We start from the raw sequence: 17,714 nt of genomic DNA on the forward strand, positions 1-17,714 counted from the left end.
CTGGATAGGAAGTGAAAGGAGGCTTATAATTAGTGGCCCAAAGCTCCTTCATCTGTATGACAGGGCTGGACGATGAGGGACCGTGGATCTCAGGAAGCCGGAAGCCAAGCAGTGAAGCAGAGCCCTGACCCGTGCCAGGCTTTACCTGGGGCGCTTATTTAATCCCATGAGGTTTATTTACCAGATGAGAAAACTGAGGCATAAAGAGGATGAATAATTCCCTGAGTCCACAGCTGGTAAACTGAGGTGGGAATCCCATTCTTAAGCACACAAGCTGGGAGCAGCGCTGTGCCACCCACGCCTTAATTCTGTGCCACAAACCTCTGTGCGGTGGGCCTTGTTGTCCTGATTTAACAGTGTCTGAAGTGACAAGGGCAGCCCTGAGTCCCGGGCACTGGAAGCCAGAAGGGAAGTGGAGCTGGTGAGGTGCCAACTCCAGCCCCCAAGTGGGGAGCTGTGCTTCCCTTGAACTCTCAAAGCCTCAATTCCCTCATTAGTGAGAAATTGGGGCCACTAACAGCCCTTTCCTCACAGGGTCATTGTGAAGAATAAATAAGTGTCCACCTCCCTGCCTGGCACAGGCTAGGGTCTCAGCTACAGTAGCTTTATAGTTGTCATTAAAGTTATTATGATATAACCGCCAGAGTTTCACACAGGCACTGCCACAGATGTTATCTCATTTTGTTCTCACAGCCACCCTGGGGGTAGCTGGTGCCCTTTTTGTTTTACAAATAAGGAAAATGCGGTTCTGGGAGGGGCGGTTAGGGACCCACACTGCCAGTGGCAGAGCCTGAATTAGAAGCAGGAGGCCCCCTGGAGCCAGGGCAATGGCATCTACCCCATCTGAGGGTCGTTGTCGCTGGAAGGGAGTGAGGGAGCACTTGCCCAGACCCCAGACATCCTGCAGCTCTCACTCCTCACTGTTGGGCCTCCCTCTCCACACCCACCAGGAAGGCTTAGCAAGGGCCAGGAATTTGCCCAAGGTCACACAGCGGGCAAGTGACCTAACTCCAGACCCAGGCCTGGAGGCCCTGCAAATCCTGACGCCTTTGGATTGTTGGGAGAAGAGAGAAAGAATCCCCAACCTGCACCTCCTGTCTTTCCCCGTCCTCTGAAACTGACCCTACTGGTAGACAAATACACCTTTCTCTCCAACGTACTGAGCCCCTGCAAATAAAATTAAACTGCCAACAAAATAAACAAGAGTCACAACAATAATACATCAGCCATTACTCTGGGGGGATAGAGTGGGAGGTGAGCCACGCTGCCCAGTGCCTACTACGTGCCAGGCCCAGTGCTCTGCGCTCCCTCAATATCTCACTCGCGGCTCACGAACAACCCGCATGCATGCATTATTTTCCTTTTTTGCAAACGAGAAAACCGAAATCTAAATATATAGAGTCAATTTCTCAAGGTCACTCAGCGAGGAAATGGCCAGTCCAAATTTGAACACACTTCTGGCCAACAACAGCACATCCGAGCTCTCACCACTGTCCACACCACAAGGAGCGGGAGGAAGAACCCAGGCCAGGGGTGCGACACTCAAAGAGTTTGCACCTAACGATTTTAGAATTCGCTGGAAGAAAATGATTCCGCTTGTCTCCCCAAAGCTGCAGCGGAAGGTGACTACTTCGTGTGCGGTCCTGTCCACGGTGCCCTGGGCCGGGTAGACAGTCACTGAGGCGCGAGCAGAACGGGGAGTGGTTCCAGCGCCCAAAGTGGACTGGAGCCGGGAAGGGCTCACCAGTCGCGTTTCCCAAAGAAATCCCGCAATTTGCTCTAGGAGCTGCCCGCGCCTTTGACATTCAGGAACCCGAAGTCCCTAGACCCGCCGAGCCGCGAGCGGGTTCCCACGCGCGACCACAGCCCCCTTCCATCCTGCAACGAATTACGAGAGTCAGGTCCCCGCTCCCCACCGGGCGACCCCGCGTCCCTAGCCCAGCCGCAGCTGGCACGCGTGGGCACCTGCGAGTCACGCCTCGGTCCGCCTGGCCGGAGCCAGGGAGTGTCTCCAAAGTGGCCGCGAGGCCGCGGCCGAAACCCGGGCGGGGGCGAATTCTCCCCACGCGGGTCGGCGTCATCCGGGGCGCGGAGAACGCTACGGTGCTCCCCTCGCCCCGCGCGCAGGCAGCGCGAAGCCTGCCCCGGGTAGTGCGCCCCTTTCGTTCCTCCGGCGGCGGTAGCGTCCAAGGGGCTTCTGCGGATTCCGCCGGGTCGTCCCGGGGTTGCAACTCCATTGTACCTGAAAGGATGCATTTGGTTTGGCTTTTGCTCAGATGAAAAAAAAAAAAAATTGGAAGAAAACGAAAACCCACTCAGCAAAAGACAATTTCACAAGCGGAGCGCTCTACCCACCCAGCGCGGTGTCTGGGAAGCGGCCCGGCCCGGAGGAGCGGGGAGCGTCTGCTAATTGCAGCTTCGTTAGATTTCGGGTTTGGGAGGCTGTGGTTCGGGCTCTAATATCCGCCGCCCATTATCCCTGCTAATAAATTTGACCTATTGTTCGTTTGTTAAAATGATGTCACCTTGGAACAGTCCCTAAGCTCCTATTTCCATGAATTAGGCCTTTATTGAAAGCCGGGAGCCAATGAGAGGAGAGAGGCTTGTTGATCGCAGCCAATGGCTGCGGCAGGAGAGGAATTAGCAGCGGAAACTCCAGGTTCGGTTCAAGAAAGATGACACAGAGCCTGTCGGGCCCGCGCACTCTTGGCAAAGTTTCAGTGCGACGAGAGGCGCCGGGCGCTCCATGGCCGCGCCGTAACGGGGACCCAGCCGCCTCCCCGCCCAGCCCAGCCCAGCCCTTCCGCCCGCCCAGGATGGAGGCGCCCGCCAGCGCGCAGACCCCGCACCCGCACGAGCCCATCAGCTTCGGCATCGACCAGATCCTTAACAGCCCGGACCAGGACAGCGCACCCGCCCCGCGGGGCCCCGACGGCGCCAGCTACCTGGGAGGGCCCCCCGGGGGCCGTCCGGGCGCCACATACCCGTCTCTGCCCGCCTCCTTTGCGGGCCTCGGCGCGCCCTTCGAGGACGCGGGATCTTACAGTGTGAACCTGAGCCTAGCGCCCGCAGGCGTGATCCGGGTGCCGGCGCACAGGCCGCTGCCCGGGGCCGTGCCACCGCCTCTGCCAAGCGCGCTACCCGCCATGCCCTCCGTGCCCACGGTCTCCAGCCTTGGCGGTCTCAATTTCCCCTGGATGGAGAGCAGCCGCCGCTTCGTGAAAGACCGCTTCACAGGTGAGCAGAGCTGGCGACCAGGCTCCAGGCCTCCGCCCTCTCGGGGCCAGAGGCGCCGCGCCCTGTGCGCTCCACTCCCGGAAACCATTTCAGAGGCCCAAGCGCGGCGGAGGCCTCGGCCCCAGGGCCCCGGGCAGCCGTGGTGGGGAGGGTAATCGGAGAGTTGCAGGAAAATAAGCCCGTGCCCGGGGGAAGGGACAGGGGGCGAGGGGGTCTCCCGACCGGCTTGGTGTCTCTGGAAACGCGCGCGACCAGCGAAATAGCGGAGCTCTCCGTGTCCCACGGGGCGCCACGGGGTCCGCATGGGGCCTGAACGGTGGCGGAGCCGGGCTGGGCTTCAGGGGCCCTCCTGTGTCTCCGCAGCGGCGGCCGCACTCACGCCCTTCACCGTGACCCGGCGCATCGGCCACCCCTACCAGAACCGGACGCCGCCCAAGCGTAAGAAGCCGCGCACGTCCTTTTCCCGGGTGCAGATCTGCGAGCTGGAAAAGCGCTTCCATCGCCAGAAGTACCTGGCCTCTGCCGAGAGGGCGGCGCTCGCCAAGTCCCTCAAAATGACGGACGCGCAGGTCAAGACCTGGTTCCAAAACCGGAGGACCAAGTGGCGGTGAGAGAGGCCTGACCCGGCCCACCTTACACCTGCCCTTCACCTGTCCCGCCCCGAGCCGCAGCCTCGCACTAGCCCTATTTTAAGGCTATCCACTACCCCCGCCCCCCTCTGCCTCCCCCAAACACACCCCCACCCCGCCTTCGCAGATTGTACCTCTTCCTTTCACCCTTCTCGCTGGCCTGTGCTTCTCTCTCCATCGTGGTCTCCCACGCCTTGGTTTCTCCTCCATCCCCATCCCCATCTTTCGTGAGCCCCTCCAACTCTCTCCCCGTGTTTTGTACGGTCTCCTGCGTTCACTTGATTTCCTCTCACCCACCCCCGCCCCAAACACACAGGCACACACACACACACACACACGCGCACACACACGGGCCTCTCGCACTCTCCTTCTCCTCCTTCTTCCAGCCCGCCCTCTCGGATTTTCAACAATCCTCGTGGACGCCGGTTTCCTCTCCCCCCATCTCCGCGTCTCCATTCCAGCCGCGTTTTTATCCGATCTCTGTTTTGATTCAACCCGTAAACGGCGAAGCGATCGCGTCTGGAAAGGGGTTCAAGACAGGCCCTGGGCGAACTGGATGAGACTGACCCAGCCCCCGGGCGTCGTGCGGGTGGTGCAGAGCCAGCCTGCTCACCCGCGGACCCCAGCGACCCCGGTTCCCGCAGGGCCAAGTCAGTTACACATAGGCCCTGCCCTTGCTATCTGGCGAAAGGAACAATCTTTATTGTTGGTGAAGCCACAATACCCGGGCGTGCAGGTGGGCGGCGGGCAGAGTCCCCTCCTGGAGACCCTCTGGCACACAACAAAAACAAATGATCCTAACCGGCTCCCTGGATATAAGAGCCTCGGGCGTAAAGCGCGGGCTGGGAGGCAGACGGGTTCTGCGCCTCGAGGCTCCCGGATGGCCTCGGCTCCCGGGAGGGCCGGGGCCCCGCCGGCGGCCCCGCGGTGCCGGGTGCATGACGGTACTGTCCCTCTCCCTCCCCCGGTGCAGGCGGCAGACGGCGGAGGAGCGGGAGGCGGAGCGGCAGCAGGCGAGCCGGCTCATGCTGCAGCTGCAACACGACGCCTTCCAAAAGAGCCTCAACGACTCCATCCAGCCTGACCCGCTCTGTCTGCACAACTCGTCACTCTTTGCTCTGCAGAATCTGCAGCCCTGGGAGGAGGATAGTTCCAAGGTTCCCGCTGTCACCTCCCTGGTGTGAGCCCACCAGCGCGCACCGTCGCCACGGATCGCCGCCCCCACCCAGCCGGGCGCCCCGGACCCCCCAGGCGGGCTGCGGGGGAACCGGCGCCGAGAGGGGAAGGGGCCGCCTAGCCCGAGTAGGCCCCAGGGCGCGGCCACAGACTGGCGGGCCGCGGAAGGGGGTAGGGCCCGAGCTCCGCGCGGCCGCACAATCCGAGCCCCCGCCCCGCGCCCCGTCCCGCCCCAGGCCCGGGCCTGACAAGAAAGCGCCTTACGTTTCTCCGCCCCCCGCCCGCACCCCCCGGGCCGGGCGCCTGTATTATACTTTGTACTTTTGCCCAAACGTGTAAATAATAAAAAAGTTTTGGCTTTTTTCTTTAGAAACCGGCCACCTGCTTCCCCCGCGGGGGCCGCTGGAGGAAGGGCAGCCGACCCGGCCGCTGGGGGAAGTGCCAGGGGCCCGGGGCACCCTGCGTTTAGGCTGGGTCCACTCTTCTTCTTTTCCGTTCCTTTTATTTAAGTCTTTTTATTTAATAAAAAAGTTAGCTATTTCACTTAACGCCGCTTTTATTTCGTTTTCGTTCCAATAATGCTCGGCGACCCCCGGCCCTGCGCCCCACCCCTGCGGCGGTAGAAGCCGAGCGGCGGCGCGCAGGGCGCGTCCACTTCCGCAACGTTCGTCTGCATTCGCCTCGGCTGCAACCCCGGCCCGGGCCCCCGAGGAGGATGCGCGGTGCAGGTCAGTTGGTGCCGGCCACCCGCAGCCTGGGTGCGCACGGGATGGGGACTGGACATGGGAAAGGTGCTCCAGGCCCGAAGGCCGCGGGCCAGCGCCGGGGCGGGCTGGGGAGTGAAAGGCTGGGCCTGGGCAGATGCCTAGGCCGTCCCCAGGTCAAATCCACCTGGGGGGTGGGAGGCAGGGTGGCCTCGAACTTCTTAGAGCTCAAGTCGGAACTCGGAGCCCCACTTCACCCCGCAACTCGCTTTCCGCCCTCTTTTTCCCGCGGAGCCTCAGAGAGGACCTGGCTCTGGCCAGTCTGCGCGCGCTGTGGGCAGGCTTTGCGCGCAGAGCCGCTGCAAATCCTCGGTCTCCAAACGCCTGGGGAGCAAATGCAGCGCACAACCCTAGGGGCCCTCTCCTTGTCGGGTTTGCGTGGGACCCCAGGTGGAGCGTGACGTCATGTGACGTCACCGCAGCCCCCGCGGTGTCACTGGGCTGGAGTGGGCGGGGCGCCCGGAACTCAGAACTCTAAGCGCTGGTGTGGTAGCGTCGTGGCCGGGGTCCACCCAGCTCCACCGTGGCTCAAGAGCTGGAAGTTTCAGAATTGCGAGGTTTGGAGCGGCTGACCCCTTCCAGTCACATCTAACACACAAAGCCCGTGAACACTTCCTCTAGTTCTTTGATTTTTCCCCCTCTTTTATCATTCTCGCTTTCAGTCTTCTGAAAACTTACTTTCTGGCCTCTCCGTTTCTTTCTCTACAATGTTCCCTGTTTTCTCCTCTGTATGTTACTCTGGGTCTCTGTTTTACTATATCTTTCTCCTTTTCTTTACAGATTTATGATGTTTCCCAGTATAGTTCGTCCTCTATTGCTTTTCATTGCCCTCAGCCTTTTCTTGTTCCGTCGTCTCCTCCTTCTTCTCTCCCCAGTTCTGACTCTTGGCCTCTGTGTGTCTCTGGGTTTCTTTGTCTCCCTCCTCTCCACGGTCCTCTTGTCCTTTTGTCTTCCCTTTCTTGTTTCTTGAATCTCTTTGCCTTTATGTATCTGTCTTTCTCTCTCTCTCTCTCTCTCTCTCTCTCTCTCTCTCTCTTCTTTCCTTTCTCCCTGACTCCCTCTCTCCCTCTTCCAGGCCCAGCTCCCAGTAGCTCCTAAGGCAAAACACTTTCGGGGCCGCGTCCCAGAGCACCCCTCCCACTCCACGAGCACCCCCACCCGCCTCATCCCACTGCCTCCCTCGGAGCCGGAGCCGTGCGCCACCCTGCAGGTTCCCGTGCTCCGAGCCTTCGTTCTATGCGGGCTGCGGGACTGTATTCACCTGCAGGGCTGGAGGAAGGGGAGGGCGCCTGAGAAACACCTTGAACCCCCAGCGCTCCCGCCGTCACCTCCACCTCCAAGCCCAGCTAGCCTGGGATCTGCGCCTTTCAGGACATAAAGACACCCAGGGAGGGACTAGGGTGACTCAGAACTTCGGGTCTCTTCCGTGAGTGTTTTCCTGAAATGCTTTTATTTTCTCCAATAAAAAGCCTGATGAACGCCGTCATCGGGTTGGGAAAGGTTGGCCCTTCGGCTGAGGACTAGAGGGACCCTTGACTTTGCTGGCGGAGAAGCGCTTTCCTCAGAGACGGGTGTCGCGGTCCAGCTCCCTTCCGTTCCGTTTTATTCTGTTGCTCCATAATAAGGCCTAGCGGGGTTTTTTTTCTTAATTGTTTTTATTTCAACGCGCTTTTGGGGAACAGATGGTCAGGTGGCGTTTGGTTACATGAATAAGTTCTTTAGTGGTGATTTCTGAGATTTTGGGGCGTCCATCACCCGAGCAGTGTACACTCTACTCAATGTGTAGTCTTTTATCCCTCGCCCCTCCACCCTCCCCCACAGGCCCCAAAATCCAACGTATCATTCTTTCTTTCTTTTTTTCTGAGACGGAGTCTCCCTTTGTCGCCAGGCTAGAGTGCAGTGGCGCGATCTCGGCTCACTGCAACCTCCGCCTCCTGGGTTCAAGCGATTCTCCTGCCTCAGCCTCCGGAGTACCTGGGACTACAGGCGCGAGTCACCACGCCTGGCTAATTTTTTATATTTTTAGTAGAGACGGGGTTTCACCATGTTGGCCAAGATGGTCTCCATCTCTTGACCTCGTGATCCGCTCGCCTCGGCCTCCCAAAGTGCTGGGATTACAGGCGTGAGCCCCCGCCCCCGGCCCAACGTATCATTCTTATAAGGCCTAGTATTTTTGTTTTTCAAAATTACTTCTGTTGTTTTGCCAGGGTGACACTCAATTCTTTGGGCCTCTTTGGAGACACACGCACGTTGTTTTTTTTTCTTTCTGTTGGGCGCCTCGCTTTGCGCAGAAGGCCTCTGGCCCGGAGGCCCGTCCGGGGTAGGCGTCCAGGCAGGCCGGGGGTGGGGGGCCGGTCTGGCTTCGGCCCTCGGGGGGCGCCTGGCTTTCCCGCACCTAGTGCCTTCGCGGCGTTTGGCGTCTTCCAGCGCTTTGCCCTCACCCAGCCTTGCCCAGCCAGAGACGGGCTACGGGTCTTTTCCTGTTACAGAGCTGAGCCCACTCATGTGGTGCCAAGTAGCGACTATCTCTCGGCCACCTCCACCCAGAGCAATGTGGGCGCCCCCAGCGGGTGGGAGCGATTGCCGAGCGGCGCAAGGGCGTTTAACGCCTAACCCCCTCCTCCTGGGTTGCCAAGCCGCTAGGTCGCCGTTTCCAACGTGGCTGCGCGGGACTGAAGTCCGACGACTCCTCGTCCTCAGTAGGAGACACACCTCCCACTGCCCCCAGCCACGCGAGCTATGGGCAGAATCGGGGCAACGGTAATATCTGGATGGGGCAGGCTCCCCTGAGGCTGTGCTTAAGAAAAAAGGAATCTGGAGTAGCCTGAGGGGCCCCACGAGGGGGCCTCCTTTGCGATCGTCTCCCAGCCTTAGGCCAAGGCTACGGAGGCAGGCGGCCGAGTGTTGGCGCCCAGCCCGGCCGAGGACTGGATGGAGGACGAGAAGCAGCCTGCCTCTGGGCGACAGCTGCGGACGCAGCCTCGCCGCCTCGCCGCCTCAGCCTCGGTCCCAGCGTCTCTAAAGCCGCGCCCATTTTACAGATGCAGGGCAGGGAGACAAGAGGCATCTCCGGGGGCCGAGTAGAATGATGGCGCGGGTTCTCCCGGCGCCCTGATTTCGAGGCTGCGCCCGGGGCCCTACATGCAGGCGGGGAGGCCTGGGCCGAAGGCGTCTGCAAGGAGGGGCGAGTCTGCCCGGTCCGGGCAGGGAGTGAGGCCACAGTCAGTTCTCCCTAGGAGGCCGCGCAGCGGGTAGGGTATGGGACTGGGGGACGCAACGGGGACCTGGCCGAATCAGAGCCCTCAGCAGAGAACGCCGAAAACTCTGGGGCCGGCCGCTCGCTTCCCGCTAGTGGGAATGGTTTCCGGTCATCCGTTCCCAGTCCAGCCCCGGGTAGGGAGCTCTGATTTGCAATGCACAGCACTTGCGAGGTTCGAATGCCCCCGCAATTTGCAGATGGAAATACTAAGCCTAGGCCGGGCGTGGTGGCTCAAGCCTATCATCTCAGCCCTTTGGGAGGCCAAGCCGGGAGGATTGTTTGAGCCCAAGAATTCAAAACCAGCCTGAGCAACATAGCGACCCCGTCTCTACAAAATAAAATAAAATAAATTATCCGGGCGTGGTGGCACGCGCCTGTGGTTCCAGCTACTCCGGAGGCTGAGGTGGGAGGATCGCTTGAGTCCGGGAGGTCGAGGCTACAGTGAGCCGTGATCGCACCACTGCACTCCAGCCTGGGCGACAGAGTGAGACCTTGTCTCAAAAAAGGAAAAAAAGAAAAAGAAAGTAAGCTTCAAAGAAGCTCTGATAATAGTTCTGGGTCGTGCAGCGGTGGCGGCCCCGCGCTCTCGCCCCTAAAGCAAGCGCTCTTTGTACTGGGTGGAGGAGCTTTGAGTAGTGAGGGTGGAGATGCAGCTTCGGGGTGGCGCAGCCACCCTGACACTAGGCCCGGGGTCGCAGTGGGACAGAAGAGTCTGCCGCTCTGACTTGGGCTCTGAGTTCCAAGGGCGCCCGGCACTTCTAGCCTCCCAGGCTTGCGCGCTGGCGCCTTTGCCATCCGTGCCGAAGTGGGGAGACCTAGCCGCGACCACCACGAGCGCAGCGGTGACACCCAGAGGTCCCACCGGGCCCCTGGGCAGGGTAACCTTAGCCTGTCCGCTTCGGCAGCTTTGCGAAGAGTGGCGCGCAGCTAGGGCTGAGGCTCTTGCGGACCTGCGGTCGAAGCAGGCGGCTGAGCCAGTTCGATCGCCAAGGCCTGGGCTGCCGACAGTGGTGCGCGCTCTGTTCCGCCGCGGCCGGGCCAGGCGCTCTGGAATAGCGATGGGGGGACACGGCCTCCAACTTTCTGCAGAGACCATCGGGCAGCTCCGGGCCTAAGCAGCGACCTCACCGAAGGTTCCTGGGAACCTTTGCCAAAATCCCAGCCTCTGCCTCGGTCCAGCTAAACCGTGTGTAAACAAGTGCACCAAGGCCGCAGAGCGGCTGGTGTGGTGCAGGCGCCTGCGTTCTGGAGTAGTGAAGGTTCCTCCACAGGGAAGGCGGTTTTCCTTCCGTGAAATTCGAAATTCAGCCCCCCAGTTCCAAGCGCCTGCTCCGTTAATAGCATCTACTCTCAGCGACGCCCAGACCCAGGCTGTGCACTGTCTTGGCTCAGACACTGGCAAAGTCCTCGAGAAATTGCCTTGGTGATCGGTGCCTTCCCTCGGGCCACCCAGCCGCCGGTGGCACGGAGTCTTCCGCGCAGTTGTGCGGACCCTCGCTGTGTGGCCCTGAGCAAATGGTTTCGATTATCTGCAGCTTGGTTTCTGAAACTGTAAAAATAGTCATTAAAGACTCTTCTAGAAAAAGCAAAAAAACAAAAACCATGGCATATGGTACAGCTGATGATCAGTTTTTTATGAAAACAAAAGTATTTTAGAAGTATTTTTCGGATCAAAATCTAAGTGCGGGGTTTAATCAGAGGTGTTGCTATTTTGGAGGAAAAGACAGGAATGGAACAGCGTCCTCCACTGCCATGAATTGTCCTCTGGTCACCGGTAGTAGAGACAGTCGCACAGTCATCTGGGAAACTTGGCCTGGCTCCATCTGCCTAGACTTATCAGTGTCCTGGTATTACCCTGAGGTTAGTGGCCATCACACCAGTTGAAACGAATGTCGTTGCTCTGTCAGACCCGCTGCCAATTAATGAGTTCGTTATTCAACCCCTTTACTATGCTCTCACTTTGTGTAGGACAGGTGGGATGGGAGAAGAAAAAACGTGCGAACAGAATATTTGAGCAGGTTTTCTCCTACACCTTCCACCATCCCATTGATCCCCTAAAACAGTTCTGTGTTCCCATTAAGTAGGAAGTTGAGAAGCAGAGAAGGCAGGCGACCCACCCAAGTTCACCCCCAGGTGCCTTAACCACCTCTGGCCTCAAAGGCCCTGGGGTGCCTGGCTGGCTGGCTGCGAGGCCCAAGCCAGGCCATGTCCCCACTGGACCACGGATCACAGCCTGGAAAAGCCCCATTGGCCGCAGGTTCATTAGAGAGATTTGTGCTGACCCAGGCTCCGTGATTTTAAGAAGCCAAATCTTTGAGTGGAGTGAGAGTCCTAGATTGTCTTTAAAAGCCTCCAGACCTCGCACAGCCCATGCGCTGGCTGCTACCGGGGATGTACTGGCTTTACTATCAAGCACTGTTGGTCGATGGATTTATCCCAGCTGTGCTGAAACTCTCCAGGGCTGAGAGCCTGCGATGGCAGAGCACCCTTTGCCTCCGTCCCCCATCCAGGAAAAATCCACTTCTTCCTCCAGCCAGCAGAGACTCAGCCAACAAGAGGAATGCAGAGCACTCCAGAGAAGAACAGAGAACTGCCCTTCCCCCCGCCCCCACCACCCCCAGTCAGGGAGGTAGCCCTCCATTGGTCCTAGGGGGCGAGGTCCGCCCTGAGGCAGGAGAAGTTGGTGTTGAGCTCAGGGGCCGATGGTGATTATCCAGCATGCGAAGCTGCCTTGCATTTGCATCCACTGTTCAGGTGCTACAGCTGGGGCACTTTTGTTCCTGGGACGTAGTGAGACTAAGAAGAAGGGGAGGGGAGAGCAGAGAGGGAACGCAACCCCGGGGAAGACGCCAAGAGAGGGTGCTGGGCCGGGGTGAACTTTATTAATGCCTGCCGTTTCCAGCTCGTTTGTTGGAGGGGGCGGGCAGGGCTCCTCTGGGCAGGGATGGGGCCATGCCTTTATTAATAGTTCCCAGCTCCCCGAGGCCCTCAGAGCTGTGGCCACCTGTATCCTCCTGAGCCCAGGCTTCCAGCACCCAGCTACCATTTGGTGAGGGCATCTGCACCACCCCATGTAATCCTCAAAGGACCCCAAGAGATAGATACTATTGTAATCTCCACTTTAGAGATGAGTAAACTGAGGCTCTGAGGAGTGACACCACATTCCCAAGGCTCCTCTGGTGCCAGGACTTTAAGGGAAGCCGCCTGAATCCAGCTCGTTGGTTTTCTCCAGTGAGGCACCTCAAACCTTCTTGTTACTAAAGCCAAGGTCTTTATGTGACTGCCGAAGGGTTGAATATTACCATCCCCAAACAACACCACGTATAAACCAGAAAGTCCTGGGTGGGTTTTTGTTTGTTTTGTTTTGTTTTGTTTTTTGAGATGGAGTCTCACTCTCACCCAGGCTGGAGCGCAGTGGCACAATCTCGGCTCACTGCAACCTCCACTTCCCAGGTTCAAGCAATTCTTCTGCCTCAGCCTCCCAAATAGCTGGGATTACAGGCACCTGCTACCACGCCTGGCTAATTTTTGTATTTGTGATAGAAACGGGGTTTCACCATATTGGCCAGGCTGGTCTCAAACTCAGACCTCAAATGATCTCCTGGTCTCAGCCTCCGAAAATGCTGGGGTTACAGGCATGAGCCACTGCACCCAGCCTTGTTTTTTGTTTTTGTTTTTAGCATTGTGATTGCTGCTGCTACCATTAGAATCCCTTGTTATTTCTCTTTTGTTCCTCCTGAAGATGGTTGGAAGCTAATAGCTCTTGTGCTTTATCTAAGGGATTCAGGAAGGCTCTACTGCCCACCCGCACACCTCTGACTCCCAGCTCAGGCAGAAGAACAGGCTCTGGTGAACCCCTGTGGCGGTGAGGCGCCCTGGTGTAGCCCACAGCTGCTGGGGCTGAGGACTTTCAGCCCTAGGGAAGGAAGATGACAGGCACATTAATGCATTCTGCCTCCTGCACCAAAATGCCCACAACTTATATGAAGCTTTAACAGGCCTGGGTTAAAATCTCAGCTTTGTCACTCACAAGCTGTGTGGTCCTAGACAAGTCAGTTTGCATCTCTGTGCCTCAGTGTGTTCATCTGGATATTGCAAAAAATAGATCTTCCTCATGGGGTGGTTTGAAAGATTAAACCTGGAGCCCAGTGCACAGTAAACACTACAATGTTATTATAAATAGTAGGTGAATTTCCACATGGTAAATATTGTTCTTGTTTTCCTCATAGAGAGAAGGAAGCAAACCTAGTAACTCAAGTAGTGAGTAACTTGATCACCGGCAGACATTTAAGTAACGGAGCTGGAATTCAAACCTAGTTACGCCTGAGTTTATAGCCCTGACTTGCCTCAGTCTGCACCATGTCTCCCCTGAAGAAGACCTTCAGAAAAGGTTGTTGATTGATTGTTGAAAATCCAGATTATTCTAAGTAAGAGTAACCAGGGACTCTGCTGCCTTCTGGGGCTTCAGTTTCCTTTGGTTGCTGATGTTTGGCACATTGCAGGTGCTCAGTACATGTTCATAAAATAATCATACTAACGGGTAAGTAGCAATTCTAGAACCGCTACTGTGGGCCAGGCAGTGAACTGGGCATTTATGCAAGCATCTTACACATTTACCCTTAAAGTAAGCCTAGGAAGTACAGTTGCTTTTAAACCACGTGGGTTTAAACTGCTTAGGTCCATGTATATGCAGATTCTCTTGTGCCTCTGCCACCCCTGAGACAGCAATACCAACCCCCACCTCGCCCACTTCCTCCTCCTTAGCCTACGCAACATGAAGTCGATGAAGATGAAGACCGTTATGATGATCCACTTTCACTTAATGTACAGTAAATATATTTTTTCTCCTCTCTATGATTTTTGGTAGTATTTTCTTTTGCCTAGCTTTATTATAGGAATACAGTACATAATACATATAACATACTAAATATACGTTCAGCAACTGTTTGTCAGTAAGGCTTCCAGTCAACAGTAGGCTATGAGTAGTTAAGTTTGGGGGAGTCAAAAATTACACATAGGCTGAGCACAGTGGCTCACACCTGCAATCCCAGCACTACGGGGGGCCAGGGTGGGCAGATCACGAGGTCAGGAGTTCGAGACCAGCTTGGCCAATATGGTGAAAGCCCGTCTCTACTAAAAATACAAAAATTAGCCGGACATGGTGGTGCACGCCTGTAGTCCCAGCTACTCAGGGGGCTGAGGCAGAAGAATCGCTTGAACATGGGAGGCGGAGGTTGCAGTGAGCTGAGATTGCACCACTGCACTCCAGCCTGGGCAACAGAGCAAGACTTCCTCCCCCCACCAAAAAATAATAATAATAATTGCACATGGATTTTTGACTGCACAGAGGTTGGTTCTCCTAACCCCCACATTGTTCAAGGGTCAACTATGGATAGTGATATTCCATCTTGAAGATAAGAAAGTTGAGATTTGGGGATGTTAAGTAACTTATCAATGTCCCATAGAGTATGAAATGGGATGCAGGTGTTCTGACTCAAGAGAGAGAAGAAACCTGATAAATGCCGGGTGTCTACTATGTGTCGAGCACTGTATTCTGGGTCATGATGTGCATTTTCTCACTCAGTCCTCACAATCACTTTAGAAAACAGTTTTGAAGCCCTATTTTACAGATGAGAAAACTTAAGGCTCAGCAACTTGAAAGTGTATTTGCCCATAGCTAAATACAACAGTTCTCTACCTACTAGCTCAGGATGCTTCAATCCATTTCAAAAGTTGACCTCAAAGTCTTCAACCAAAGCTGAGGTGCTCTCTGCAGGTGGAGCAGACACTGTTATGGGAGGGATCATTCTCACATAAAACGCAGCCTCTCCCGTGAGGGGGCTAGGCAAATGATATTCCTTGGGCTCTCAGGGAAGGAATGTCACTGACAGGGACCAGACAATGATGAAGTGTCCAGAAGCAAGAGGAACGCAGAGTGTTCCATCAGCGGCGAGGTGGGCAGAGGGCTTGAAGGCCTGTTCTCTGGCTGCATTGCTAGGAGCCGCCCCTCCTTGTTGACTTCTTCCCCTCCCCCGGCCTCCCTCTCCCTGCACCACTGACTCTGTTCCTACAGCCTCCAGAAGGAGCTGCCTTGGACAAAGGCCCCAGGCCTTTTGCACAGTTCCTGTTGAAAAGCATAGGAGGGAAGGGCATCTGTGTCTCTCAATTGCGTCTAAGATTTAAAGATCAAGAAAGGTGAATTGTTTGGTTTGTCCTTAAATTCACGTGGGGGGAAAGCAAAAGACCTTGAACCTGGAGTAACTAAGTCCTGAAGAGCAGGGTCCAGACTGACAATTCTTGGATCTGTTTCTTCCACATAAGCCAGGTTTTGCCAACACAGCCATGCACTGTTCTATACAAGCTTCTCCTGAGGCCTCATGATGCTCAGCAGAGCACTGAGCGCTTAGTAGGTGGCTCATTGAGTCCAGGCAGCTGCCTGACCCACAGTCTGAGCTCTGCACTTGAGCTGCAAGGCTGTCTCTGCTTGGTGAGAAGAGGTCAGGGTCTGAGGCTTCCTGCCAGAAGGTTGCTTGGGTGCCCTGAAGACAAAATTGAACCTGCCCTTTATGTATTTTAAAAACAATTTGTCAATGGCAACAATTTACAAAAATATATTCCTGTTGCAGTATCTCCCAATAGCTGGGATTTATGGCTTCATCTCCTGGATCTGAAAGTATACCGGCATGCTCTAGCAAATGGGAAAATGTATGAACAATTTGTTGGCTTTTTTTTTTAATCAAGTTTTCCCAAATATGTAAACTCTGAGAGTGCCTTATTCTTTTTAAATGATCATTCATTTGTCTCCAGACTCTATCTTTTGGCACAATTTATTATTCTCTATTTCAAAAAACTTAAATGCATTTTGCATATTAGCACGTAACTCTTGTTCCTGTCTCCTCAGTTGTGGAAAGGGCTGGATTGCTTTTATAAAGAAAAAAATGGCTAATAAAATCAGCCTCAGCACCATTGCTCTGCAATTCTTATGAACAGTAAAGTGGTACTTACCGTCATTGATGTTAAAAGCTATTTCTAAATTATGGTGCCATTTATTATCTCTAGTGTCCAAAGTAAGTTTAAATGAAGCTTATAATTCATGTTTTACCAAATTTCCTTTTCCCCCCGAGGATACCTCTGATTAACTTACGCACATTAAAGCGCTCTTTAAATTCTTCTTTTATTGCCATTATGCTCTGAAAATCTCAGCGATTCTCAAAAATGGGTAATAAACTTGAGATAAAATGCTGCAGTTTTAGATCAATGCTGACATATCACTGTGGTGATTTCTACAGAGCTAAAGTGATAATGCTTCATATTTACGGAATATATACTAGGTTATTACTACAGTATTACCATTTTGTTCTAAGATGAAATGAGTAATTTACCAATTTATTAAACAGTTACATTTAAGTATTGCTTAGGACATTACCACCCCAATCTGTTTACTTAGCTTGAAGAGTTACCATTAAGATACCCTGTTTATTTAGGTAAAATTTGTAATCATCAAGCCTTCCATTAACCAACTTATTTTTCTGCAAGGCTAATTGTCTGGAAATGACTTTCTTCTTATTTACTGTGCTATATTCTGCTTAGCTGGCTAAAAACGCCACCCCAGCAAACAGTGCTAGGGAAATTAATAATACATACAGAGAACAGTTTTAATTAGTATAATACCAAATGTTAATAAAAGATTTATGACACCGTTAGAAAGTTCTAATGGAAGAGATCTTTACAGCTTCAGGCTCAATTTGTCAGCACAGCCACGGCTGCCTTTCATGGGAGGCCAGATTTGGCTGATTTTGAGAGGCTGCTGGGGTGCAGAGGCCAGACCGGGGACCTCTACCTTTAAAAGAGGTTCGCTTGGAGCTACATAGAGAGTTCACACTAGAGGAGGGGAATTTGAGGCATGGATAGGAATGCTAATTTTAACTTGAACGAAGCCAAGTTATCTGCAAAGAGGAAGGCAGGCCAGCCTGAGTCCCTCTGGAGACATTTTCTGGGGTACCAGTGGTTTTTTGTCCGAACTAGAACAGGACTTTGAGAAGCTGGGCTGCTATTAATTCAAAAGCCATGGGAAACCGTATGCAGCGAACCCAGGAAAAGGACACGCGTAATATTTATTATCTCTTTTGCGTCATTTGCTTACACACATCTACAGTATTTAAATCTTCACAGCAGAAAGGTAGCATTAGCCTCGCTTTGCGGGTAAGCAAGTAAAGCTCTGGAGGGTAAGATCCTGGCCTGAGGTTTTATAGCTCGTGCATGGAGCAGGATTTGAACCCAGGTGTGAGAAAACCTCAGTGCCCTGACTCCTGCAAGGCAGCCCCAACGTGAGGAGCGGCTGACCCCATTCTTCCGCCGCGTGTTTTGTCCACATGATGTCAGCCACATGAGGGTCCAGACTGCAGGGGGCGCATCCAGGCAAGCAACTGGGGGCTTGCATTTTCACGTGGGTGGGCTGGCGCATTTCCACCTCTTACTGTCCTTGCCCCTTTATATGTCCACCTTCCCTACTGTGGTATGAGCTCACAAGAGCAGGGGCTGTTTCTTACCTCCTGGGGGTTCTCAGTGCCTGGTACATAGTAGGCATTAAAAAAAAAAAAAAAAAAGAATAAGTCCAAGGAAAAAAAGGAAGTGAAAAGGAGAATCAAA

The 17,714-nt window shown here is 54.7% G+C and overlaps 1 protein-coding gene across 1 annotated transcript, besides 9 other annotated features; it reads left to right on the plus strand.

Annotated features, from left to right (window-relative positions):
* Window positions 1,306-2,190: an enhancer, noted in NCBI's record as "H3K27ac-H3K4me1 hESC enhancer chr5:170734859-170735743 (GRCh37/hg19 assembly coordinates)". NCBI's record gives its function as "activates a minimal SCP1, AML or CMV promoter by ChIP-STARR-seq in naive H9 embryonic stem cells {active_cell/tissue: H9 hESC(naive)}" and the evidence as "EXISTENCE:reporter gene assay evidence [ECO:0000049][PMID:30033119]".
* Window positions 2,191-3,076: an enhancer, noted in NCBI's record as "H3K27ac-H3K4me1 hESC enhancer chr5:170735744-170736629 (GRCh37/hg19 assembly coordinates)". NCBI's record gives its function as "activates a minimal SCP1, AML or CMV promoter by ChIP-STARR-seq in naive H9 embryonic stem cells {active_cell/tissue: H9 hESC(naive)}" and the evidence as "EXISTENCE:reporter gene assay evidence [ECO:0000049][PMID:30033119]".
* Window positions 2,699-5,590, plus strand: TLX3 (T cell leukemia homeobox 3). The gene is made up of 3 exons (NM_021025.4): window positions 2,699-3,237; window positions 3,601-3,844; window positions 4,840-5,590. The coding sequence occupies exons 1-3, from the start codon at window positions 2,817-2,819 to the stop codon at window positions 5,048-5,050; spliced, it is 876 nt and encodes a 291-aa protein (NP_066305.2). The 5' UTR covers window positions 2,699-2,816; the 3' UTR covers window positions 5,051-5,590.
* Window positions 3,077-3,961: an enhancer, noted in NCBI's record as "H3K27ac-H3K4me1 hESC enhancer chr5:170736630-170737514 (GRCh37/hg19 assembly coordinates)". NCBI's record gives its function as "activates a minimal SCP1, AML or CMV promoter by ChIP-STARR-seq in naive H9 embryonic stem cells {active_cell/tissue: H9 hESC(naive)}" and the evidence as "EXISTENCE:reporter gene assay evidence [ECO:0000049][PMID:30033119]".
* Window positions 3,962-4,847: an enhancer, noted in NCBI's record as "H3K27ac-H3K4me1 hESC enhancer chr5:170737515-170738400 (GRCh37/hg19 assembly coordinates)". NCBI's record gives its function as "activates a minimal SCP1, AML or CMV promoter by ChIP-STARR-seq in naive H9 embryonic stem cells {active_cell/tissue: H9 hESC(naive)}" and the evidence as "EXISTENCE:reporter gene assay evidence [ECO:0000049][PMID:30033119]".
* Window positions 6,618-7,502: an enhancer, noted in NCBI's record as "H3K4me1 hESC enhancer chr5:170740171-170741055 (GRCh37/hg19 assembly coordinates)". NCBI's record gives its function as "activates a minimal SCP1, AML or CMV promoter by ChIP-STARR-seq in naive H9 embryonic stem cells {active_cell/tissue: H9 hESC(naive)}" and the evidence as "EXISTENCE:reporter gene assay evidence [ECO:0000049][PMID:30033119]".
* Window positions 10,116-10,691: an enhancer, noted in NCBI's record as "H3K27ac-H3K4me1 hESC enhancer chr5:170743669-170744244 (GRCh37/hg19 assembly coordinates)". NCBI's record gives its function as "activates a minimal SCP1, AML or CMV promoter by ChIP-STARR-seq in naive H9 embryonic stem cells {active_cell/tissue: H9 hESC(naive)}" and the evidence as "EXISTENCE:reporter gene assay evidence [ECO:0000049][PMID:30033119]".
* Window positions 10,692-11,266: an enhancer, noted in NCBI's record as "H3K4me1 hESC enhancer chr5:170744245-170744819 (GRCh37/hg19 assembly coordinates)". NCBI's record gives its function as "activates a minimal SCP1, AML or CMV promoter by ChIP-STARR-seq in naive H9 embryonic stem cells {active_cell/tissue: H9 hESC(naive)}" and the evidence as "EXISTENCE:reporter gene assay evidence [ECO:0000049][PMID:30033119]".
* Window positions 11,267-11,841: an enhancer, noted in NCBI's record as "H3K4me1 hESC enhancer chr5:170744820-170745394 (GRCh37/hg19 assembly coordinates)". NCBI's record gives its function as "activates a minimal SCP1, AML or CMV promoter by ChIP-STARR-seq in naive H9 embryonic stem cells {active_cell/tissue: H9 hESC(naive)}" and the evidence as "EXISTENCE:reporter gene assay evidence [ECO:0000049][PMID:30033119]".
* Window positions 11,842-12,416: an enhancer, noted in NCBI's record as "H3K4me1 hESC enhancer chr5:170745395-170745969 (GRCh37/hg19 assembly coordinates)". NCBI's record gives its function as "activates a minimal SCP1, AML or CMV promoter by ChIP-STARR-seq in naive H9 embryonic stem cells {active_cell/tissue: H9 hESC(naive)}" and the evidence as "EXISTENCE:reporter gene assay evidence [ECO:0000049][PMID:30033119]".

Source organism: Homo sapiens, chromosome 5 (assembly GCF_000001405.40).
Source record: "Homo sapiens chromosome 5, GRCh38.p14 Primary Assembly".
NCBI lineage: Eukaryota > Metazoa > Chordata > Mammalia > Primates > Hominidae > Homo > Homo sapiens.

What these genes read in the sequence shown, in the direction of transcription:
- TLX3 (NM_021025.4), top strand. Translation starts at nt 2,817, where the DNA reads ATGGAGGCGCCCGCCAGCGCGCAGACCCCGCACCCGCACGAGCCCATC. An exon ending in CGTGAAAGACCGCTTCACAG is followed by an intron (nt 3,238 to 3,600) that starts GTGAGCAGAGCT and finishes GTGTCTCCGCAG; the next exon opens with CGGCGGCCGCACTCACGCCC. An exon ending in AACCGGAGGACCAAGTGGCG is followed by an intron (nt 3,845 to 4,839) that starts GTGAGAGAGGCC and finishes CCCCCGGTGCAG; the next exon opens with GCGGCAGACGGCGGAGGAGC.